Genomic DNA, 25710 nt, shown 5'->3' with positions numbered 1-25710 from the left:
GCACGAGGCTGCCACCAGAACCTGGAACCCTAGTCTCTGCCTCTTCCGACCCTGGTCAAGAAAACACCAACTACGCCACGCTGGCCAAAGTCTGAAAGGTGGGATCCTCTCTCGGTGGCTGCTGCAGCGGGGCTGGTGTGCTGCAACCCGGACGGAGCTGAGTGAGGGGCACAATGGCAGCAACCTGCAGGCACCAAAGAGCCCCCAAGAGCTGCTCAGCGGTGCCTGATCAAAGTTTGTCTGGGCCAGTGCTTGTGCATTGTGTACGCTGTGCGACAACCAGGAAGGAGAGCTGGGTTTTGCCATCCTCCAACGCTTCTTAAATAGGAAACTTTTTGGGTAGCACCTGGCCTAGTTCCTGGAACACAGAAGGTGCTGAGTGATGTTAGTTTCATTCGCTCATCTTGTCTCTTGGGCATGGAAAAGAGTTTACAAGTGCTCTTTCATTATCCATCTTGATGTGGGAAGGTGGGGCAGGGGAAGATGAGTACCCGCTCTCGCCCTTTGGTGTGATGTTTGTGACGTACACGAGGCATGTGGGAGAGTGGATCACAGCATTGGACAGACTGGATCCAAGTCCTGACTCGCCCACCTACAGTTACATCCCAAGAGGCAGGGGCTTAGCATCTTTGGGAACTGAGTTTCTGCTCTGAGAAGTGGGATCACAATAATGACCTTGCAGATCCCACTGGGGCCACTGAGTTAGTGCACATTCAGCTCATGAACATTCACAGTCGGGGGTGTGGTGGGAGGCTCTCTGTTCTCCCCACTCTACGTGCTTTGAGTGTTTCTGGCCAACCCTGGGCGGCCTTTCTCACCTGTGACCTCTCATCATATGCCCTGTGGTTTCAGGGCAACCACATGAGATAGGTGTTCTTTTTCCCATTTTGCAGATGAGGACATTAGAAGAATAACTTGGCTAAGGTCATCTGGCCAGAGAGAAAGTGTCACATGTTCCTCCAAGTAAGTCCTTTCTCCTAGTCTTAGAGGTCACATCTCAGAACCTCTGGGACTATCTATAGCAAGACATGGCATCAAGTAGCCAGACAGTTTCTGAAAAGGGCTCAGCCCCCACTGTTAGATGTTCTGTGGTTCCCCTGGAGGACGTTTCGGGTTCCCTGTGGGTGGTATCAGGACGTCCCCCAGAGCTCAGGTCACTCATCTCTCTCCATAACTGGCAGCAGAGTCGGAAAGCCTGGGAAAAAAAGACTTCTACTTGGAAAGGAGCAACTTTTTAAGTTAGAAAACACATTTTTCTTTTCTGCTTTCGGTCACTCATCTTTGCAAAAATAGAAGTAACTATCAATTTATCCAAAATATAAAAGAACATAGGAATGAGAGCACTGCCAGCAGCTGCGGATTTTTATCAACACAAAACCTCTATTCTAATGCCTTCCCCTTGCAACCCTGCTCCAGGTACTACTTAGGATTTTTACTTTAATATTGGGGAAAAATGGGAGAAGTAAAATGAGAAAGGGGGAAGGGGCAACGTAGGTTCCCTCCCATATTTCTGGGCACTTGCAGTTGCCTTAAACACCAGGGGCTTCCGTCTAGACTTCCTGCTTCCTGCCCACTGACTCCTTGTCTGCAGGCTTTCTCTGGTTTGGACCAGGCCAAAATGCCAGAAAAGGAATGCCCTGGGGAGCACCCTCACCCAGTGGTGGATGGAGACTGAAGATGAGGCACCAGCCTTCCCTCCCTTCCTGCCTCTCGCCTGCTGCCCGGCAGGTGCTTCCTGGGATCACCTCCTAAAGAAACAACTTGGACTCAAGCCATTGTCTCAGGGTCAGCTTCTGTGTGAACCCAACCTCCGAAGCAGTTTGTAACCAGTGAGAGGCCAGGCATGGATGGAGAGCTGCTTCAGCCCTGCAAGAAAGGAGAAGGCCCTGACTGACATGAGGATGACCAGCCCAGTCTTTCCTCGGGCTCCCCAGGGGAAGGGAAACACTCTTCCAAGGGAATCCTGGCCCATGAATTATGATTCCAAATGCCTAAGCTTTTTGAGTGACCTACCAAATGCCTGAGAAAGAAAAAGAATATAAAACGCCAGGAGAAGGAGAAGGAGAAAAAGGAGGAGAAGAAGAAGGGAGGAAAAAGAAGGAAGAGGAAGAGGAAGAGGAAGAAGGATGAGGAAGAGGAAAGGGGGAGGAGGAAAAAAGTTGTTGAAGAGTAGTAATTACCTCTTAAAGAAAAGCTCCAATATACACACAAAAAAGTCAAGGAAAAACACTTCCCATGCACTGGGAAGGTGCAGCATCTGTTCTGTGATATTTCTGCCCCCAAATGCATAACCTCAATCTAACAGGAGAAAACATCAGACAATCCAAAACTGAGGGGGGAGAAATGGGCTGGTGCTGTTCAAAAGTGTCAAGGTCATGAAAGACAAAGAAAAACTAAAGAACTATAACATTTGGAGAAAACAGTTTAGTTTGACAACTGACTGGAATGTGGGATCCTGGACTGTAACCTGAACCAGCAAAAGGATGTAAGTGGGAAAATCAGCAGATTCTGAATAAGGCCTGTAGACTAGTAGATAGTCTTTGTATGCATGTTAATATCCTGGTTTTAATCAGTGCACTGTGGTTATGTCAGATGTTAATATTGGCGGGGGAGGGGGGCACTGGGAGAAGGATACATAAGACCCCTCTGTCCTATTTGTAGCATAAAAAAGCTAAAAAAAAAAAACCTTTCCCTACAAATGATTAATACTGTCCAAGATTGCTCTAATATCAGGACCGTAAACCACAATTATTGAAAGCTTGATGGATTGTTTCTGGAAAAAAGGAAAAAGTAGACTGTGCAGTCTACTTCAAGGTTCATCTGAGAGGCCCTACTGAGGTGAGTAAACAGCAACATGAAGACCTGACTCCATTTGCACGCCCAGTTAAATGGCAGCAGTGAAGAAAAGGAGAATACCAGACTGGCCTAAAGTAATGGTTAGCCTGCTCTGAGACAGCACATTATTACCCTTGAAGTGATGCATGAATTAGAAAAAATAACAACGTTCACTTAATGATAGCTCTCGATCTTTCTTAGCCACGGGAGGCTCCCTAGCTATAAAGCAGCAATGTTTATGGGTAGCCCCATTTGTTACTTAACTAACAACCATTCCATACCCCCTGCGTGGCAGGCGCTGGGCTGCAAGGATGAACATGACTCGTGCCCTTCCCTCATGAAGTACTCATGTTATCACAGGGACTGCCCTAGTGATTGTTATCTGGATAAGCTCTATAACAGAGGAATATGCAGAAGGTTTTGGGATCACAGGAGAGAGAAGGATTAGAGCTCAGCTGGAGGAGTCAAGGAAGGCTTTGAGGAGTAAGTAGGACCCTGTCAGGCACAGCAGGTGGGAGGGAAGCAGGAAAAGGCAGAAGATTCAAATGCATTAGCAAGGCCCAACGTCAACAAGTGACCTTCACTAGAATTCCTCAGAGCACTCAGTATGTTAATTAATTAATTATCTGTAGGGTTAATTAATTAATTATCTGGGTCTCACTATGTTGCCCAGGCTGGTCTGGAACTCCTGGTCCCAAGTGATCCTCCCACCTTGACCTCCTAAACTGTTGGAATTACAGGCTTGAACCACCATGTAGAACCTAATTTCTTTTTCTTTTTTTTTTTTGAGCCAGAGTCTCACTCTGCCACCGAAGCTGGAGTGCAGTGGTATGATCTTGCTCAGTGCAACTTCTGCCTCCCGGGTTCAAGCAATTCTCCTGCCTCAGCCTCCTGAGTAGCTGGGATTACAGGTGCTCGCTACCATGCCTGGCTAATTTTTGTATTTTTAGTAGAGACAGGGTTTCACCTTGTTGGCCAAGCTGGTCTCGAACTCCTGACCTCAGGTGATTTGCCCACCTGTAATCCCAAAGTGCTGGCGTTACAGGCGTGAGCCACAGTGGCCAGCCAGGCTTAATTTTTAAAATATTCTCCTTTACGATTATATGAAACAGGTAAGCTTTACTGGTTTTAATGTTAAAAACAAGGCAGACATTCATCAAAGAAGTGAATCCTGGTGTCCATCACTAATGAAGTTAGAAAACCCAGAATTCATGGGTTCACTTCATTATATAATACTAACATTCTTGGCTCTTTGACTTAAATACGCTGCAGTTTCACAAATAATCCCCACATTAGTTGCAGTCCCGTGTGCTTAATAAAGCTTGAGAGCTGTCTCAGAAGGACACGCACAAGAGCAGGGGCACACATGAGACTGAGCTTTGAAGAGGAACGTTTGACTCTGTAGGGAGAGGCTGAATTTGGATCCAAACAGCTCTGCTTCTGCACGTGACCCTTGTGTTTGGGGTTCCAGAATCGCTTAACCCAGGTTCCACTAAATTTCTTGTTTATAAAGGTTTTTGAAAATGAAAACTCTATAGATGAATTACTAGTTCCACTTCCAGCTTCAATGAACCTTTTATATTTTGAAAATATCCTCTCTGTCTGCTGGGGCAACAAACTATGAACTGATTTCCTGAGCATCTCAGCATGCATCAGAGCTCTTGACCTCCCCAGAACCCACCGTGGTGTTCACAGATTACAATGATTTGAATATAAATGAACTTTAACCTAAACGACTAGGCTTGCATTTATAAACACAACATGGAAGAACTGTGTACCCCTACAATGGATTTAACTTATTATGGCATTTGCAGTCCTAGGTTATTAGCATTGGCAGGAGCCTTAGAGATGGGTATACTTTGCATGTTACAGACTTTTTTTTTTTTTTTTTTGAGACGGAGTCTCACTCTGTCACCCAGGCTGGCGTGCAGTGGCACGACCTTGGCTCACTGCCAAGCTCCGCCTCCCGGGTTCACACCATTCTCCTGCCTCAGCCTCCCGAGTAGCTGGGACTACAGGTGCCCGCCACCACGTCCAGCTAATGTTTTGAATTTTTTAGTAGAGACAGGGTTTCACCATGTTAGGCAGGATGGTCTAGATCTCCTGACCTCGTTATCCGCCCTCCTTGGCCTCCCAAAGTGCTGGGATTACAGACGTGAGCCACCGCGCCCGGCCTGCATGTTACAGATTTTAAAACAAAAACAGGTACATCAATTAAGCAGATCGTTCTACATCATGTAGCTAAGCAGTGCCATGGCGAGAAATAAACCCAGAGCACCTTCCTAACTTACCAAGCTCAGAGAGGGTTTCTGTAGTTCCAGTTGGTGTTTAGTAACTAGTGTTCTGAAATCTTAACAACCAATGTACATGTTTTTAAAATCCAAGTAGTTAAAAATTTGGAGGACACGGCTTTCTGCAGCACCTTAATATAACAGATGGTAATAAACCTACAAAGATTCTCCTCTGCAATTGTACCAGTCACCTGCCAGTGATACAATCCCAGAGGAGAATTGGTGTGGGTTTTTGCTTCTTCTCTGTCAGAACGTCCTGTTTGTATTTTCTTTTTAAGTGTTGTTGTGGGCTGAACAGTGCCCCCACTACGAGGTAAGCTGGAGTCTCAATCTCTGTGAATGGGACCTTATTTGGAAATGGGTCCCTGCAGATGTAGTCCAGTTAAGAGGGGTCATACTGGAGTAGGGTGGACCCGAAACTGACTGGTGTCCTTATAAGAGGAGGGGAATTTGGACTCAGAGACACATGGGAAAAAGCTGTGTGAAGACAGAGGCAGAGACTGGAATGATGCGTGTGTAGACCCAGGAACAGCAAGGATTCCTAGCAACCAGTGGAAGCTGGAAGAGGCGAGGAAGGATGCACCCCCGGAGCTGTCAGAGCACAACTCTGCTGACACGTCCCAAAGTGTGAGAGAATTCATTTATGTTGCTTTAAGCATTCATTTATGTTGCTTTATAATAATTTGTTTTAGCAGCCCTAGGAAATAACATGTTTATTAAATAAGATGTTAAAATTGAATAATACTCCACTAGATGAAGGATATGAAAAGATATTTTAGGCTTGGCATGGTGTCTCATGCCTGTGTTCCCAGCACTTTGGGAGGCCAAGGCAGGAGGATTACTTGAACCCAGCAGTTTGAGGCCAGCCTGAGCAACATAGCGAGAGCCCATCTCTAAAAAAAAAAAAAAAAAAAAAAAATTAGCCAGGGGTGGTGGCACAAGCCTGTAGTCCCAGTTACTCAGGAGGCTGAGGTGGGAGAATCACTTGAGCCCAGGAGTTCAAGGCTGCAGTGAGCTGTGATAGCGCCACTGTACTCCAGCCTAGCTGACACAGTGAAAATCCATCTCTAAAATAAATTAAAAAACAAAAAAAGATCTTTTCCAACAAAAAATTATAACTATTAAATTAACATAAGAAAAGGATATTTGCTAATTATTAAAGAAATGTATTTTATAAAACCAACGCAGCAGTTCCTTTATTAAAGTAGCAAAAATTCAACATCACATCAATGTTCAATAGCAGTTCCAGTCCTAGGAAAACTGACGCACTAAACCCCTACTGGAGGAAATACAGAATTTGTACAAGCTTCACAAGAAACAATTTAATAATACTAATTCAGTAAAACTGTTTTTTTTTTTTTTTTCAGACGGAGTCTTGCTCTGTCCCCTGGGCTGGACTGGAATGGTGCATCCCAGCTTACTGCAACCTCTGCCTTCTGGGTTCAAGCAATTCTCTTGCCTCAGCCTCCCGAGTAGCTGGGATTACAGGCACACGTCACCACGCCCAGCTAATTTTTGTATTTTTTTTTTTTAGAAGAGATGGGGTTTCACCATGTTGGCCAGGCTGGTCTCGAATTCCTGACCTCAGGTGATCCACCTGCCTGGCCTCCCAAACTGCTGGGATTACATGCGCGAGCCACTACGCCTGGCCCAGTAAAACTTTTATAATCATCTCCAGGCAACTGACCAGATTCAAAAGATGCAGAGTAAAATTTCAAGAACACACAATAACAACCAGTCATCAAACATCACTGGGGGTCAGGCTTTATCAAGTAGAGCTGTTTAGTTACCCATCTCTCTGACTCTCCTTGGTCTTATGTCCTAACCTCTGATGACGCACATAAAATAGTCAAAGAGCACAGTACTTCTTGACCATACTTAATGTTACTTTTGGGTTTTTTTGGAGAGACAGTCTCACTCTGTTGAAGTCACTCCCAGGCTGGAGTGCATTAGCATGATCTTGGCTCACTGCAACCTCCGCCCCCCAGGCTCAAGCAGTTTTCCTGTCTCAGCCGCACAAGTAGCTGGGATTAGAGGCATGCGTACCACGCTTGCCTAATTTTTGTATTTTTTGTAGTGGTGGGGTTTCACCATGTTGGCCGGACTGGCCTCAAACTCCTGGCCTCAAGTGATCCTCCCGCCTCAGCCTCCCAAAGTGCTGGATCACATGGGTGTGAGCCACTGCCCATGGACTTAGTTACTTCTTGATATTATGTAAGCAGAATGTAAAGAAGGTTGTAAGTATTTTTAGTTTTCTGTATATTATGGTGTTTTGACATCTTAAAAATCCTTTCTGGCTGAAGAGAGACTGCCCCTTTCTGGACTAGTAAATTCTTAGAGACAGCAAAGGCCCAGCCAGGAGCAGGCCCCTGGCAAACCCAGGGCTGGAGCCCATGTCTTCTTCTTTCAGTTCAGTGGCCTTTCACCCCAACTGAAGCCCAAAGGGGTGAAATAATTTTGCCAAGTTCACACAGTGACTACCAGATGTCAACACCTGTCTCTAATGCATGTGACCTTATCTCTCATAAAAATAAAGAACAGGCCGGGCGCGGTGGCTCACGCCTGTAATCCCAGCACTTTGGGAGGCCGAGGCGGGCGGATCACGAGGTCAGGAGATTGAGACCATCCCGGCTAAAACGGTGAAACCCCGTCTCTACTAAAAATACAAAAAAATTAGCCGGGCGTAGTGGCGGGCGCCTGTAGTCCCAGCTACTCGGGAGGCTGAGGCAGGAGAATGGCGTGAACCTGGGAGGCGGAGCTTGCAGTGAGCCGAGATCCCGCCACTGCACTCCAGCCTGGGCGACAGAGCGAGACTCCGTCTCAAAAAAAAAATAAATAAATAAAATAAAGAACATATTTAATCAAATTTGCATCCACAATTCAGACTTGTTGCATCCAAATCCATTTATCCATTCACACTCCTTAAATATTTCCTGTGGGCCTACTATGTGCCAGTCTTGTGCTGGGGCCTATCTCTCAGAGCCCAATAGGCCCAGAGAATCCACAACGTTGGTGAACATCGTGGCCCCAAAGCTGAGCCCATCAAATTAGCTTTGGAAAGTCTATATACAGAATTCATCTGACAGTTTTTTCTGAGCATTTCCTAGTTCTCTTTCTTTCCTTTCTTTCCCTCCCTCCCTCTCTTTTTCTCTCTCCCTCTCTCTCACTTTCTTTCTTTCTTCTCTTTCTTTTTTTGACTAAGTTTCACTCTTGTTACCCAGGCTGGAGTGCAATGGCACGATCTCAGCTCACTACAACCTCTGCCTCCTGGGTTCAAGCAGTTCTCCTGCCCCAGCCTCCCGAGTAGCTGGGATTACAGGCATGCGCCACCACACCCGGCTAATTTTGTATTTTTAGTAGAGATGGAGTTTCTCCATGTTGCTCAGGCTGGTCTCAAACTCCCGACCTCAGGTGATCCACCCACCTCACCTCGGCCTCCCAAAGTGCTAGGATTACAGGCATAAGCCACATGATTGTTTATTTAAAAATAAGGAATTTTTGTGGCCTGGCAATGAAAGACCATTCAGAAACTCAGATGAATTATTTCCTGTTAATAATCTTCTTAGGAAAACTTCTCTCCCACACCAGCCCAACTGAGCTTCATGCTCTCTGAGCAAATTCTGAGGCTGCTGCTGGTTCAAGGCAACCAAGAGCTTAATTCTGCTCAGGAAAGTGAACACTTTGTTTCCAGGAGATCAAAAGATTCACTTAAAAATAAATATCCCAGCCCTCCTTTTCTTTCACATTATGCTGAATTTGCAAACTTTTGTGAGGCTAATATGCCTGCCTCAGGTCGGGCTGAGGAATCACTCCAGATGATCCTAAGCTTGCAAGCATTTACTTTCAGTAAATACACTGGCATTTCCTTACAGTTCCCCTCACCCAGCAGTAATTCTAAGGATTAGCAAAAAGCTTATAGTTGGAGAAAATAAACTCTATCTAAAAATACTCTTTTTTTTTTTTTTTTTTTTTGAGACGGATTCTTGCTCTGTCGCCCAGGCAGGAGTGCAGTGGTGGGATCTCAGCTCACTGCAAGCTCCGCCTCCCGGGTTCACGCCATTCTCCTGCCTCAGCCTCCCGAGTAGCTGGGACTACAGGCGCCTGCCACCATGCCCGGCTAATTTTTTGTATTTCTTAGTAGAGATGGGGTTTCACTGTGTTAGCCAGGATGGTCTTGATCTCCTGACCTCGTGATCTGCCCGCCTCAGTCTCCCAAAATGCTGGGATTACAGGCGTGAGCCACTGCACCTGGACCTAAAAATACTCTTAAAGAGTGAAAGTGAGGCACATTATATAATTTTCAATCTTGCTGTGAACAAATATGATTTTAGAGGATACCCAGCTTTCAAACTTCTATCAAAAATACATATGTTCAAAATTGTTGTACTGTCTCTTTCCTAATTATTGCACATCAGAGGAAAAGATGAGAGAAGAAAAAGTATTTTTTTTTTCGAATAATGAGTGTATTCATTTGTTAGGGTTGCCTTAACAAAGTATCACGAGCTAGGTGGCTTATACAATAGAAATTTATTTTCCTGCGGCTCTGGAGTTGAGAAGTTCGAGATCAAGGCATTGGCAGGGCTGTTTCTTTCTGAAGGCTATGAGGGAGAATCTATCCCTGTCTTTTCTTTCTGGCTTGTAGATGGCCATCTCGTCCCTGCATCTCATGACATCATCTTCCTTCTATGCATAACTTTGTGTCTAAGTCTCCACTTTTTTAAGGACACCAGTCATGTTGGATTGGAGCCCGCCTTAATGACTTCATCTTAACTAATTACCTCTGCAATGATCTTATTGTCAAATAAGGTCACATCCTGACGTTCTGGAAATTAGGACTTCAACATGCAAAATTTTGGGGGACACATTCTGTCCATAACAACGAGTGAAGCTCTCCTGAGGCCATAAAATCACTGAACAAAGCCTTCATGTTTTCTAGGCTCAGGGAGCAATGTTGGTACTGGTGAGGGCTGGAACAGTGGGTCACGACCAGCTGCTCTTACAAGTCAGTGGTTCTTAAATGAGTAAAAGCCATTCTGGTCTATCAAGATGGCATATCCAGGGTCTCTACTGATGTTCCCCTGCTACTCCCCGTGCTAAAAAAACAAACCAATTTTCCTCTCTCCTGGAAGCATTTCCCATTGGGATGCTTTGCTAATCCAGGCCTGGCTTAAGCTGCCAAAAAGAGATGTGCTGCTCTCGGCATCCATACGACCTCTATGTAGCAGGCGCACCCCCACCCATCTGCCTCTGTGATAAACAACAGCAAGAAGTCAGCCGGGGGCTTGTTCGATGCCCTGAGCAGCGCACCAGAATCTTCCAGAGGATAACTACTCACTGGGAAGGGGGCCAGGGCTTACACTTTTCATGGTGTGGTTTTAGGGTACTTGGAAAAGCCCCAGAAACCAACATATCAAATCTACTAGGCACTGTCTACCATTACTCCCTGCATAAAGGCAGCGAAGTCCTCATGCTGGGGAGAGAAATTCATTGGCCCAAACCCACAGCCAAGGACACAGCTTTTGCAGCTCTCTTGGCATTTCTCACCTGGCAGAGTTCTATCTGGGTACCATTCTACCTTGTCACTCCGTTTGGACCATTTGCTACATCTTCCTACCTGCTCCCCACCTCCCGCCAGCAACCACACTTAGCACAACCTCTGGAAGGCATGCAGAAAGAGCCTTCCCCCAGGGGCTCGACCCAGCCCCCTCCTCAGACAGGATACATGAAGCGTTGCTCACGAAACCCCCACTCTGGATGCGCTGTCTGATTCTACGCAGGCTGTCACTTCTTCTGGAGGCCACATCCTGGGGACTCGCTCTAGTGCCGATGATTGTTTGCCCTGTCCCCTTGCCCCTTTGGACCATAACTCTGTGTTCTCTTGCTATTTCCTTTTTGTGGCCCCGGCACTATTCTGCCTCTCCTCCCCTGTGCTCTGGTTCTGTAGGTATGGCCAGCTTCCCCCACAGCTGTCTGCTAATATCTCTGCTGGGCTCAGCTCAGCTGGGCCTCCCTGTGCTGCACTCCACCTCCTCACATGTTATGGTCCATCCCACACACACCTTTACGCCTACCTACCACCTGTTGCCTGTCTCTAGCTATTGTGTTTTACCTGCATGACTTGCTTTTTTTCCCTCATCTTCAGGCATCCCTAGCACCTGCCCGAGCTCAGCAGGGGTATCTAGTTCCAGGGCCGACCCTGTCTGTCCTTCCTGTGCCCACTGACATTAAGCTTTCTGTAGCTATGGGCAAAGGCACTGAAATTTACAACGTTTAAATACACAGAGAAATATAACTTTATTTTCTATAATAGATCTCAAATGTCCCAGGAGCCACTATTTCCAACTGGGCTTACACAATCTCTACCAGATGAACTTAATCTCACTGGGCTAAGTACTTAGTGTTTCACATTTCTCTTTCCCTTCAACCTGTGCAGAGAGGAAGTTCTGTGGTGGGGCAGTTTGATCTCTGTGCTATCATCTGGTCTGTATAGGCTGCACAGTCTAATCCCACTGGGCCTTTGGGTACCAGGATCTCTGGCTACATCTGCTGCTGGACCCACCTGCCCGCTGGAAATACGTGGGAATCCATTGCTAATGTTGGCTCCTTCCCTGGCCTCAACTGTCATATCATCTCCAGGTGTGCTATGTATGAAGTTTCCTTTCCTAGACTTGTTTTTGTTTGTTTGTTTGTTTTTGAGACAGAGTCTCACTCTGTTGCCCAGGCTGGAAGTACAGTGGTACAATCTTGGCCCATTGCAATCTCCACCCCCCAGGTTCAAGTGATTCTCGTGCCCTCATCATACTGAGTAGCTGGAACTACAGACGTGTGCCACCACGACTGGCTAATTTTTGTAGTTTTAGTAGAAATGGGGTTTCATCATGTTGGCCAGGCTGGTCTCGAACTCTTGACCTCAGGTGATCCACCTGCCTTGGCCTCCCAAAGTGCTGCAATTACAGATGTGAGCCACCATGCCCGGCCATCCTTTCCTAGACTTTGAATTCCAAACACCACATTTTCTTAATGTCTTCTCTTAAGCCTGGCCTTACTGAATTAACCCCTTTCTTTACCTTCCTAATAATGTTAATACTTTTCAAATACTTTTAAATAATTTTAGTTTCAACACAGTCTGTGAGATGTTGTTTTGGCAGTTAGTTTACCCCCAATTTGAGGCTTGGGGTCCTAGGTGGTTTGCCTAAGTCACACACTCATAAATAAGGACAGCCAGGACAGAGCCAGGACTGAAACTCTGGCCTCTTGGCCTTCTGTCCAGGGTCTGATATATTGGAGTACAGCATAAATTAGGACTTGGTCCAGATGGCCCTATGAAACTGAAGCCTGAGCATGATGGCTCAACTGAATAGAGGTTCACTGTTCTCCTATAACAGAAGATTTTTTGGGGGAAGTCATTCAAGGCTGCATGGCAGCTCTGCAGTGTGATCAGTTTCCAGGCTTGTTCTAGATTTCTCTTCTGTTACACTTAGCATGTGGCATTTATCCTGTAGCATTAAGATGGTTCCTACTTCTGCATTCCAGCTCTGTGCCCAGGGAGAAGGGAGAAGGGCAAAGGGAAACAATCCAAGTAACACATGTCAGCTACTTCTCCTTCAAAAAGCATTCTCAGAAGCCTCAGTCTGTCACTCAAGCGCATCTCATTGGCTGACCTTGGTCACACAGTCAACCCTAGCTGCAAGGGAGTCAGGGAAGCTGTGTGTTCTAAGCTGAGCACATTGGTACCCTGAGGGGATATGTGAGCTGTTATGAGGGAAATATGGTTGGCTGTGTCTGCCACAGCTGCCTACCTCTCTAATCTGCCTTCCCTTGTTTTATGTTGCTATTTAACACCCTGCCTTCTCATGTCCTCATCCTCTCTCTTCCCAGTTGCCACCCCAAAAGTGTTACAATTTCCCAAGACAGCCAGGGTCCACATTGGTTGTCCCTATCCTTCAGCAAAACTCCTATTTCCTCAGATAGATGTTAGAGCAATAATCTAGTCATTTGTACAGCTGTATGAAAGCTGTGGCTTTCCAGATTTTCTGTTATATTTTCCACTTCAAGTACATGGTTCTGTTGTTCTCATAAGCCACTGAAATGTCTTGTAAATCTTGACATTTCAGCATCCAAACTTTACCTCCTGGACACCTGGAAGTAGCACAAAATCCTTTTATCTGACTTGTCTTGATTTCTAGTGATTTCCATGCCCTTGGAGGATTCTGAGGTAAACAAGATAAGGCGCTTCAGTGCCCAGGTCAGGTAAGTAGAGATGCTTCGGGTAGATGGTTTTGTGAGTCAGCCCTGTGAGAAGTCAGCTGGTCCTTGGCCCTGGGGTAAGGAGGGGCAATGCTTTCTGCACAAGTCCAAGAAGCATCATAGGAAAGAGGACTAGCTGGTCAAGACAAGATATGCCCATACGTGATGGAAATTCCTTTATCTCTCTCCTATAAACAAATGCACAAGAACTTAAAAACCCCAATAAACATTTGTCTCTTCAAAGCAGCCACCTAATAAGTGGACTTAAATAATACAGCTACTGTTCAAAGCATTTTTATAATTCCTTTTCTGGATTACTTTCAAGCTTATATGAAAATCTCTTGAATTTCCTTACTGAACAATCCTTGTCCTTTAGGATGGGTTTTATTTCAGAAAAGGAGGAGACTCACACGAAGGCAAGTAAGTGAATCACGATGAAGCCAGAAAGCGTCCCCCGCTCCACCCCTGTGTAAGAACTCTGTCTCATTCCTCCGTAGCTCATCAGAGCTTTCTTTTCAGCAGTTTAACCTGCAGAGATTCCCGGCTCCTTACATTACATATGTTAAGCCTATAGAGAGAAAAATAAAGGTTTTAAAAAGCAGTCACCATCTGAATGGGCACTTATTTAGGTCCAGGAAAATAGCGTGTTTGCAGGTTCTGTTGATTTCTGTCTTCACAGTCATCTGGTAAGTGGTTACTTCTTCACATGTGGTCTGTGCTCTTTCTAAACCACCGTTAAACCGTCAGCATGTTATCAGCACAAAGAACTATTCACTTCACTTAGGGAACATGGACATGGAGTTATTAACCCCATAAAGCTGGCCACCTTTAAACTTCTGATCTTGTCTGATAAACGCCTTGTTCCCATGACGCTAAACAATGAGTTGAAAGGTAGTCAATAAATCAGAACACTGACCCCTCCCACGTACTTCTGCAGTTCTCATCAACCACGCTTTGCCTTTATCTCTGACCTCTTCCCATTTTCTCTCTTCTCTGATTCATGCCTTCTCTCTAATCGGCTGGGTCCTAGACTGTGCTTTGATTTGTATTTGCCAAACAGTCCCCTTTTGATCCAGTTACAGGGAGGTGCCTGTACATCAGCTCACACTGGGAACGAGAAGAACTGGGCTCTGCTCACTTAGTCCTAGTCCCACTGGCCGTGTGTGTGAAGCCATGGGCCAGCCCCTGGCTTCCAGGGTGGACTCCCGGGTGCAGGGGCTTGTGACTGCCCTGAATGATTCCCTTCACACGAAGTGCTGAGCACCCAGGCAGGGTGCAAACCTGCCTCAGCCAGGACAGACCCTGCAAAAGAGGGATGATATCAGCCTGTGTGTTCACCACCACTCTGGGCAGAAAGAAAACATCCTGAAGGAAAGGGCTGTGTGGAGTAGCCTCCTGGCTACCTCACCCACCTCTTTGCACTTCCCTAATCCACAGAGGACCTGGAGGGACTCCCAGGTGAATTTCTCCACCCGGGAGCAGTACAGGCAACCAAAGGCTGGGACCCCAGGGTCCTGCGAGGTCCTAAGGTTATTAATCCCCCACCCTTGTCCCAGAGCTGTGGCATGGGGCTTCAGCCCAGGGGACACGGACAACAGGCACAACAGCACTCACCATACAGGGACTGAGGCAGGCTTTGGCCACATGGTAAGCTGATGCCAGGCAAAAGTTTGTCTTATGTCCTGAATAATAACTATGTGTCCATCACACAGCCTTTGGGTGTACACAGCCTATTTAAAGCAGAAACAGACAGAAATCTGGCCAGGAACCAGAAGCCACTAGCTCTTCCTTTGATTCCATACATAGGGTGGCCCTGCCCGTCTCCTCTGACTTCAGGCAGGCACCAGCCAGGTGATTCAGCCAAATAACAAACCTGTCCCTACTAATTTCAGGGTTAGGCCTCCAGCAATCCTCCGGTCTGCAAATCACCCTCTCCCCTCCTCTAACTCCAGAAGGTTGAGGGCCATAAGAACTTTAAGTTTAAACTTTTTCTCACATCCTCAACGATTCTCTGGACAAGCCTTGTTCTGTGTGTTTTGGCAATTTTTTTCCATCCTGAAACATGGAAGTTAAAAATAATTGAGCATGGGAATTGAAGGATGAAAGTCAGATCTGGGATTCCCTTTCCCTCATGCTCACATGGGACAGACGCTGTACTCAGACTTTGATGGTTGGCTGCTCCTCTGACCCCCAGCATTCAGCGTGGACTGTGGAAACCCACCCGACACTAGCACCAGAGTCTGGACAGTTCCTTTTTTCAGCCCACACCACCTGGACTTTGGATTGAAAGCCCATGCTGCAGAAGCCACTTCTTTAAAGTATAGGATCATTAGAAGTCAGCCTATCAGAGGAATTCAACAAACAGATGGTGCGGTGCCACAGGGTGACAACAACAGAAAGGGTCACTTACCCCGGTGTAGAGTTTGTCACCCACTTTTGCAGCAGTCACACAGATGGGCTGTTCTACTAAGCCTTTAGTGGAACCAATCATTACTTGATCTTGGGTGAGAAAAAAAAGTATAAAAAGGTTTTAGCTCACTTGTTTTCTTGCCAGATCAATTGGTAATAAAATGACATTTTGCTTGCAAGAAATGTAAGCACAATGCGATTATTCTACAAATAAGTGCAAGTGGCTAACCTTAGGTACGTATTTTTTAAGGGAAGTAAGCAGTTTTTTTTTTTTTTTTAAATAAGGTAGGACTTTTTTTATGTTTAAATTCTCCTGAAATATACTTTTTGGTTCTCTTGCTCCCGGGAGTCCTGTTTCCACAACAAGGCCTGTCCACATCAGCGAGGAGTGTTAGAATGCAGATTTCTGGGGCCCGGCGTGGCTGTGGAGGCCTTAGTTTGGGATGCCGAAAGACAGGCTATTCTCAGAAAGCTACCTGAGGCCTGAGAAGCATGACCTGGACCCATGCACTTTCCTAATGGCTCTGCCCCACCATTTAATTACCTCTGAGCAACACCCTTCTCTTCACCTAGCTAGCCAGAAGCCAGAAAAATCTGACCGTACATTGGGGTTTGAATAAATTAAAGTGGATGCATTAGAACATCTTGAAACCTTTGCAGAGCAGGTTAGGCAAGTTCCAGAAGGACAGACCTGGCAGAGCATTTCTGGTGATGAAGCCACAATGTCCTTTCCTGTCCCACGTGTAGGTCACCCCTCCGGGCACAAGGACAATGTCCAACTGGCCATTGTGGAGTCCAATTCTCAGGGCAGTGGGCTCGATTCTGGGACAGTCCACTCTACTGCTGCCTGTAGAAGGTGCTTTCTTCCTCCGAATAAAGCCCCAGGACTCCAGGATTTACAGTTGATATGTCAGAGGCTCAGTCCATCCAGAGCCTTCCCTACAAGCAAAAAGCTTCCCCACCCACCTTGAAGAAATTCACAGACATCAAAAGATCATTGTGTGGCACATGGGTTAGCCCTTGAATTACAGAGCAATTTGCTGTCATTTACTGTAAATGCTGTTCGTTCATTACATCATCATTCTGCCAACGGAGGCATGAGGAGTACCTGGATGCAAACTCAATTCGGTAGGAAGAGTAAGAAATAAATGAAGCTGTACCAGACTTGATGCCTGTCTTGTTTTTATTCCTTGCTGTGCAATTTAAATTTATGATACCATTGTCTTTGAACTTCAAATGTTAAACTTGCTCACAAGTCAGTATTTTTTGCTTTTTTTCAGAACCTGATCACTGTTCAGCAACCATTGATGGGCGCATATTATCTGTATGGAGATTTACCAATGCTTTGTGAGAAAACAAAAATGCCTGTTCTCAAGAAACTTACCAGCTATGGGCTGGAAGGCTCTAAACTGAACTTGAATGACTCATCACAGTCATCTCATTTCTTGAGCTCTTGCTGTGCTGGAGATCTTCTGTCTCCTTGGTTCACTCTATGGTTCACCCTTCTCCAGCTGCTGTCCCCAGAGGCTGTTCTCAGTAGACTACCTACGGGGGCTCCCCTACCCTCTGGCCTCTGGTTGGATTTCAGCAATGGGGAGGGAGCCCAGGCAGGGAACTGGAGGGAGAGAGAAGGAAATGACGCTGGTTGTCAACTCCTCCCTGCTGGTGTCATTGTGGGATGGCTTTGTCTCTTGACTAAAGGTCACACAGTACCTGCAAGGCAGGTTCTGGCAATGCCCTACTCCCACCCCCTCAGAGCTGGAGAGGGTGGCCTCACTGCTACCAGCCTGGGTAAGCTCTGTCCCTGTTGCTTCCTACCCTGGCCACACCTTTGTAAATAACTCCCTTATTAAACAGTCCTCTAGTCATCCCCCTTCCTGCCAGGATTGACTGGCATTTCTACCTCAACACTGGTATTCTCCACTTAAATCCTCAATGCTTTAAGGAGGTAATATTACTAACTTCATTATACAAACCTCGGAACTGGTCTCAGAGAGATGAGATAAGACCACACATTAGATAACAAATGTGAAAGGATTTAAACCCATTTTTGTTTGATTTCACAATCTCCAGTCTTCCCATTATGATCTCTAGAGAGAGAAAACGTTTAGGGTAAAGATTCCTAGAGCTGCTAAGTTAATAATAAAAATAATGGACTGAGTGCAGTGGCTCATGCCTGTAACCAAATCCCCAAGCTGACAGGCCAAGGCAGGTGGATCTCTTGAGCCCAGGAGTTTGAGACCAGCCTGGGCAACATAGTGAGACTGCATCTCTACAAAAAAATATAAAATTAGCTGGGCATGGTGGCACACACCTGTAGTTGCAGCTACTCAGTAGGCTAAGGTGGGATGATCCCTTGAGCCCAGGAGCTCTAGGCTGCAGTGAGCCATATTCATACCACTGCACTCCAGCCTGAGTGACAGAACCTGTCTCTGTCCTGCGCCCTGGGAGTCTGTCTCTCTCTCTCACACACACACAAATATATATACGTAAATGCTTATTTTTCGCTCACTTTCTCTTGCCAGGGAAACTCCAGAATAGACACAATTGTCGTGGGTTTTAAGGGACATGAAGGAGAAAGTTACCCAAGTCCAACATCTACTGAGGAGCAATCTGTCAGCCCCACAGGTCAGAGCAGAGTGTGGCAGTCATAAGTCCAAGATCTGCTTGTGAGTCCCTCCATTTCCCATTAAGTTAATGCTGTGAAAAACTGTTTCATTGGCCTTAGGCTGTACCCCACCTCCAGCTACCCCTCCCCCAGACTCAATCATGGGTCACAGCCGCAAAGGCTCCCCATGGCTCCTGCCCCCATGACTTCATCCTGGAGAGGAAGTCCCTGTAGCAAGTGAGGGCAGAGAAGTGAGTGGAATTCCAGCAGGATCTTGCAACAGACTGGGAGTGGAGGAAGATGCTTTCTCATCACTTCTAGAATGCATCAGAAAGGAAGATGCAAGACTCTCGCCTGTTTGATACAGGGCTCCTGGCTCCCCTGCTCTATTCGTACCTCCCCAAGAACCACAGGGCCCAAGCCAGGAGCAGAGCCAAAGGCAGCTGCTCTCAGCTGCAGGGAAAAGCATAGGCAATAGGGAACATTTGAAATCCACATTCCAGAGTGGGCCCCCTTTTGCCTTCCATTCGTCTTTTCCTTACTCTTCCAGTTAATTGACCAGAAGTTTAATGAGCACCTATTGTCAACAACAGCACTAGGCTTCCTGTGTCCTTCTGCCTCCTGGTTCCTTTTTGCTCCTTCAAAGCGCAACTTTCCTTGGGCTGCCCTCCTCCTTATTCCTCACCTCCAAAATGAACTCTTGCCTCCTTCCTGCTCCTGAGCAACAAAAACGTCCATCCCTTGAATCTTGACAATCTCACCTAAGTCAAGGAAGAATTCCTTGGCTAGTAATTCTCACTAGGTGAACTGAGAACTCTGCTTAATTCTCCCTCGCTCCTTAAACCACTTGGTTGGTGAATTTTAGAAACTGTGCTGGGGGTGGTTTAGGTTGGTCCATACGACCCCTGAAGGGATCATGTGTATTCTGTATGCTGAAGGAGGTGTGGAAAAGGAGAAACCTGCAGTACATACCCTCCATGCCCCCTGGTTCCTGCCTTTGCTTTGCCTCTTGCCTACACTCTGAGGCTTGAAATGTCCTAAGTTTCTTTTCCCAAGACAATAAGGTGAGTCTCATTAGGAATGACAGGAAGTTTCCCTACTCTAAGTCAAGGGGCTCCTCCCTCTCCCGCCGTGTTAGGAGATGCAACTCCCAGGCTCCTCTGCTGAAGAAAGCAAGAGACGTGAGCCCTGAGCCACTAAGCACCGATTCCAGAGCCAGTGTAGCGGCCTCTCCACGCAAGCTGATGTTATGCGGGAGCAGAAACTAAGAGCCTCACAGAGGGTATGGGTCCAGGGGTTGGAGAGAAAGGAAACAAATGGCAGAGAGGAGAGACAATGGGGCCATTGGGAGAAATACCGGGGAGAGCCCCTGCCTTGCCTGACATTCTCTAATGTTTCCTGTCTGCCACCACCCGCTCTGACCCTATGAATGAGTTTCAGTTCCTTTCAAGCACTTGATCCTTGACCTGAATGAGACTTGGTTCTACAGATCTAGGCAGGCAGGCAGGCTGTGATAGAAAAAAAATAAGACAAAAAATCTGACAATATGCTAGTAACATCTGATCCCACTGCAAACATTCAGACTAGTCTATGTGGAATGTAAGAAACTAACAAAATGGACCAACAATTGATGATGTAAAAGTAGTGTACACATTAAAAAAAGAACAAACCTTGGAGTAATTATAACTCCTGTTCATTACAACAGACAAAAGCAGTATCTATACAATATAGAATTGCTAAACCAAACTTGGAAACTTCTGTCAAGTGGGCTGTTTAGCTTTTGAAGAGGTAGAATGCCATGTCCAATTAGACTTGTTTGATGGACTATGACTAAATTCACCTCCAGGACTGCCATTCTCACCAGAATCTAGATGAGAGCACTGCGTCCCACCAGGCCATCCACCTTCCTTCGAGAAAGTCTGATACTCTGCAGCTGCCCTGGAAAGGCACCTTGCCCTTCTATCCACCTTGTCCTTCTGTTATGTTAGACACTGACGGGGCTCTACACCTCGACTGTGTCCTGAAAGAGCTTTCAGCAACCTGCTCCCTGGGAGTCTGTAACTTAAGAGAAAGAAGTGTGGCTGTTACCTTCCTCATCTTATAGATGAGAAATGAATGAGAGAGATTCTAAGGTGGTGTCAATAGACTACTAAAGACAACAAAAACACATTTTAATACACCAAACAAATCTTTAAAAACCGAAAATCAGTTTATCATCAGCTCCTTTCTCTGTATGAACTCTAATAACTGCTTTCTTTGGTGAATTTGTATGTTGCTGGGTGCTTAGAAGACTCTGCTGCCCAGGCTTAGAGGAAGCTGGTGACGATTCTGACAAATCCCATTGCTTTCTGTGTGTCCAGGACCCCAGGCCCAATCTTTCCTAGCTGGAGCCAAGCTGGACGGCACCAGCATCTCACAGGGCCCCTGAGCCTTCCTTTCCCATGGCCAGAGTCTGCCCAGGTTATCTCAAAAGCCTGAAAGAGGAAATGAGTTAGGGAATTAACAATGATCTCTGGGTGGAGGAGTTTTATTTTCTGCTTTAAACATTCCTGTATATTCCCCAATGGGCCTTCACTGCCTTTGTAATTTTTATTAATCAAGGAGTTTCTCATGCTCTCACCTGGAAGAATCCAAAGCCCCATATACAAGGCATTATCCAAGATGTTATTTTTCCACTGATGTGCTATACAGATGCTGATGAGGAACTTTGGCAAGAAGACCCTTACGAATATATATGCATGAAGTTTGATGTGTTTGAAGATTTCATTTCTCCTACCACTGCTGCCCAGACACTTTTGTTTACAGCCTGTAGTAAGAGGAAAGAGGTACTGCAAAAGACTATAGGATTTTGTTACCAGATTCTTACAGAACCAAATGCTGACCCTCGAAAAAAAGATGGAGCCCTGCATATGATTGGCTCTTTCGCTGAAATACTTCTGAAGAAAAAGATCTATAACGATCAGATGGAATGCATGTTGCAGAATCATGTACTCCCCCTCTTCAGCAGTGAACTAGGCTACATGAGAGCAAGGGCTTGCTGGGTAATTCACTATTTCTGTGAAGTGAAGTTCGAAAGTGATCAGAACCTTCAAACAGCCTTAGAGCTGACAAGAAGATGTCTGATTGATGATAGAGAAATGCCTGTGAAAGTGGAAGCTGCCATTGCCCTTCAAGTATTGATCAGCAATCAAGAAAAAGCTAAAGAATATATCACACCATTCATCAGACCTGTAATGCAGGCTCTTCTTCATATTATCAGAGAAACAGAAAATGATGACCTTACCCATGCAATTCAGAAAATGATCTGTGAATATAGTGAAGAATTTACTCCTATTGCAGTAGAAATGACACAACATTTGGCAATGACATTTAACCAAGTAATCCAGATGGGGCCAGATGAAGAAGGTAGTGATGACAAAGCAGTTACTGCTATGGGAATTCTGAATACACCTGACACGCTTCTTAGTGTAGCTGAAGATCATTAAGAGATAACCCAACAGCTCGAGGGAATCTGCTTACAGGTCGTTCCTACTGTTTTACAACAGCATGTCTTAGAATTCTATGAGGAGATCTTCTCTTTAGTGCACAGTTTGACATGACAACGAGAGTCTCCACAGATGTGGCAGCTACTTCCCCTTGTATTTGAAGTCTTCCAGCAAGATGGCTTTGATTACTTTACAGATATGATGCTCCTCCTTCGTAATTATGTAACAGTTGATACAGACACACTTCTGTCTGTCACCAAGTATCTTGAAGTGATATACAGTATGTGCAAAAAGGTTCTTACAGGAGTTGCAGGAGAAGATGCAGAGTGTCATGCAACAAAATTGTTAGAGGTCATCGCTCTGCAGTGCAAAGGGCGTGGCACTGACCAGAGGAACCGGGGAGTGATGAAGATGATATTGATGAAGATGGGCAAGAATATTTGGAGATTCTGGCTAAGCAGGCTGGTGAAGATGGAGACGATGAAGACTGGTAAGAAGATGATGCGGAAGAGACTGCTCTGGAAGGCTATTCCACAATCATTGATGATGAAGATAACCCTGTTGATGTGTATCAGATATTTAAAGCTATCTTTCAAACTATTCAAATCGATAGTTTGAATAGTTTCAAACTATCTTTCAAACTATTCAAAATCGTAATCCTGTGTGGTATCAGGCTCTGACTCACCATCTTTCTGAAGAACAAAGAAAACAGTTACAGTATATAGCAATGCTGGCTGATCAAAGAAGAGCAGCCCATGAATCCAAAATGATTGAGAAGCATGGAGGATACAAATTCAGTGCTCCAGTTGTGCCAAGTTCTTTCAATTTTGGAGGCCCAGCACCAGGGATGAATTGAGTTATCTCTTTCTTTCCTGCTGTGTGATTGTAGTGAAGAGCTTGTGTTCGTCCTAGCAGTGGTTCCAGAAGTGGTTCATGTTATCTACTCTAAACTAATGATGAATAGATGGACAAAAGAAACAACAACCCCAGGAGATGGGACCCGATCATGCAACCTGGCACTGGAAAAGAAACCAGCGGGATTTTGGGGGATCGAGGGGGATGGGAGGTACCTTAGGGGGCATATTTCTTTATTTTTTGAAGAAAGGAAGATCCTGACTGTGAAGCTTCAAAGTGACACTGTGGAAATCTGAAACACGAGGGGATGTCATGAAGGCAGCTTTTCTTTTTCTGAGGAAAGAATAGGCAAGGGCTACAGGACTATTTAAAATGTCTCATTTGCAGTATAAAACTCAAAGGTAGATGTAATTTTTACACCTATGAGCATTTGTCCAATTTCTGTCTCTTCCTCACCATTGGGTATCTATTCTTTATATGTCAATAAGATAAGGTAATCTGATAGCTTTATTCAATCTTCATCATTTTCATTCATCATTGTTCCTATGTAGATTATTGGTCATTTATTGTAGCACTACATAACTGATTATAAAAATCAGGAAATGAATTGGCACTTTCATATTGAAACAAGCCTGCTAGCCTATGTATAAAATAGCAAAATGTTTGCTGTTTATAAAAAGATGTAATGGGGTGTGAGGCAAGGGTAATTTCAAGTTATTAATTGAAAAACGAACTAGCAATTTTGTACCTGCTGACTTTGTGGTGCGCTCACCTCTGATAGTGACTTGAATTCGGTATGTAAAAAGGGTTTAGTGGTATTTCATTGCTGCTAAAAATGACAGCTCCCTCTGTGTCCTCTTTTCTTAAAGCTGTCAGTGTACAAGTGGGTATTTGAATACCAGACCTTACTGTAAAAAATAAGAAAGGTGGTATCTAGAGCATTTAATTGGATATAAAGTTCTACTCTTAAGAGTTGATCTAAGGGTATGGCTGAACATCTATATATGCAATCTATTAAAAGAACTTAATTCAGAAAAAAAAAGAAAAGAAAAGCAAGCAAGCACTCCTACTTCCTCGTTATCGTTTGTTATCTTGCAGTTTTATTCCTCAGACCTAGACCCCAGGAAGCTTCCCACAGTCAGTACCATCCACTCTTTCGTGACAGCGCAGTACCTGAGTTCACCTTTGTGAATAGAACTCAGTGTACTTTTCCCTCCAACCATGTTTAGCCCCATTTCTTCTTTTAAACTGTAAGTACCTGGTAGGCAATGAAAACACCTGGCAGCCTCACCAGCTTCTAAACATGTGCAAGGACTTTTTAAAGAGGATACCTTAATTTTGATTTTAAGCTTTTGTAATAACAACAACCCTTTATGGAGCATTACTTTGTGCCAATTCATAAGCATTAATATTTCACCTTCATGGAACCCAGGAACTGGATAATACTACTGTCCCCCCTTTTCACATGAGAAAACAGAGGCAGAGGGTGGTATAGTGGCTCACCCAAGGCCAGGCAGCTAGTGAGTGGTGTAGCCAGAGTTTGAATCCAGGTAATCTGACCCTGAAGACCATGCTCCTGATGTGCAAAAGGTGGAGAAATTTAACTCCTTTTACTTAACTCCTACTGCTGCTGCGCCTGATAGGGACACAGGCAAGTAAAGACAGCTTAGCCATACATCTTCCCCAAAGAAAAGCAACACAGCCAAAGTGTCAAAGTTAGTGACCCAGGCGACTTGCCCAGAGCGTCTGCTTGGCAAAGACGTGGGTCTTTCACAGTCTGCAGTGTTTCCCTGTAGTTACACTCCAATTTCTCAATAACCATTTACTAGGAAATTAAACAGTAGTAGTAGAATCCTGATTTTTTTTTCAGAGGCGGAAACAGAATCCCAAGAGTTTCCGGGGAGGGAGGAAGGAACAGAGGGAGACAGGGCTGAGGACTGCCTAAGTGCCTGATACAAACCACAGCAGGCCTGCACCTGATCCATCTGCCCCAAAGACAGAGAAATAAACAGATCAATGGAACAACGGCCATTTGGTGATTGTTTCTTGTCACTCTGTGGGGGTGGGGCTGGGGATGGCTGAGAAACTGCAAGCTATCTGAAGAAAACTTCTGCATTTGCTCCCTCATGGAAAAGCTAATGGGAATTCTGTTTAAACAGCATGGTGTTTACTATCAGGACATTGTCCCAAAGCATTCTCCTAGCATGCATAGACTGACGGAGAATTAGCTCTGCCTGCCATGCACGGTGGGGGCTGGCCGGGTCTTGGGCCTTGGGAAGCTCTCCCAGGCTTCCTTCCTTGGCAGCTACTGCAGGAATCCTGAATTGTTTACAGTGAAGCCAGGAGATAAGACCCTCACCGCAAGGAGTTCAGATTCTTTTGCTAAGTTAGAAGACACAGATGAGACAAAGCTTGCAAAGGGGCTCTGCTGTTCTAAGCAAGTCATGGGCTGCCTTTGAGGACCCTTTAGAGAGCTGTGGACACCATGCAGAGGTTCTCACAGATGTTTACCTCAGTTGGAGCAAAAGCATTCTCCAGAAGAAGCTCTGAGAGATGCCCATGAAGGTGGTATCCTACATGTCTGGACCCACTGAAAAACATCTAGCAGCTGCTGAGTAAAAATATGGCTTGCAAAGTCAAGTTTGGTCAATGATTTTTTCTCCCTCAATATCAATTTGAAAACTTTTCTGTTGAATTTGTATACAATTTTTTTCTTTTAAAATATTCCTGGGAACATGGCTCAAGTACCCTTTTTTTTCCTGGGCCCACCACAAACTGGCCATGTTATTCTGAGCCAGGTGCTTAACCTCTCTAAGGCTCCATTTTTCCCTCTATAAAATGGGAACATAAGTTAGTGTCAGCCGGGCGCGGTGGCTCACGCCTGTAATCCCAGCTCTTTGGGAGGCCGAGGCGGGCAGATCACAAGGTCAGGAGATCGAGACCATCCTGGCTAACATGGTAAAACCTTGTCTCTACTAAA

General features: G+C 45.4%; 1 protein-coding gene and 1 pseudogene across 1 annotated transcript in view, besides 2 other annotated features; one reads left to right on the top strand and one right to left on the bottom strand.

Moving 5' to 3' along the window:
* Positions 1-25710, bottom strand: part of SPATA13 (spermatogenesis associated 13) — a 327268-nt gene that overhangs the window by 162274 nt on the left and 139284 nt on the right. The gene's annotated exons all lie outside the window — the stretch shown is intronic.
* Positions 1632-1926: a silencer, noted in NCBI's record as "tiled region #6352; HepG2 Repressive non-DNase unmatched - State 22:ReprW, and K562 Repressive non-DNase unmatched - State 21:Repr". NCBI's record gives its function as "represses a minimal TATA promoter and a strong SV40 promoter by Sharpr-MPRA in HepG2 and K562 cells {active_cell/tissue: HepG2 | K562}" and the evidence as "EXISTENCE:reporter gene assay evidence [ECO:0000049][PMID:27701403]".
* Positions 2813-3681: an enhancer, noted in NCBI's record as "OCT4-NANOG hESC enhancer chr13:24715254-24716122 (GRCh37/hg19 assembly coordinates)". NCBI's record gives its function as "activates a minimal SCP1, AML or CMV promoter by ChIP-STARR-seq in naive H9 embryonic stem cells {active_cell/tissue: H9 hESC(naive)}" and the evidence as "EXISTENCE:reporter gene assay evidence [ECO:0000049][PMID:30033119]".
* On the top strand, positions 20974-23838 carry IPO7P2 (importin 7 pseudogene 2; annotated as a pseudogene).

Source organism: Homo sapiens, chromosome 13, assembly GCF_000001405.40.
Source record: "Homo sapiens chromosome 13, GRCh38.p14 Primary Assembly".
NCBI classification, from domain to species: Eukaryota; Metazoa; Chordata; class Mammalia; order Primates; family Hominidae; genus Homo; species Homo sapiens.
Note: the sequence above shows the minus strand (reverse complement) of the source record. Positions and strands in the feature narration are given on the sequence as shown.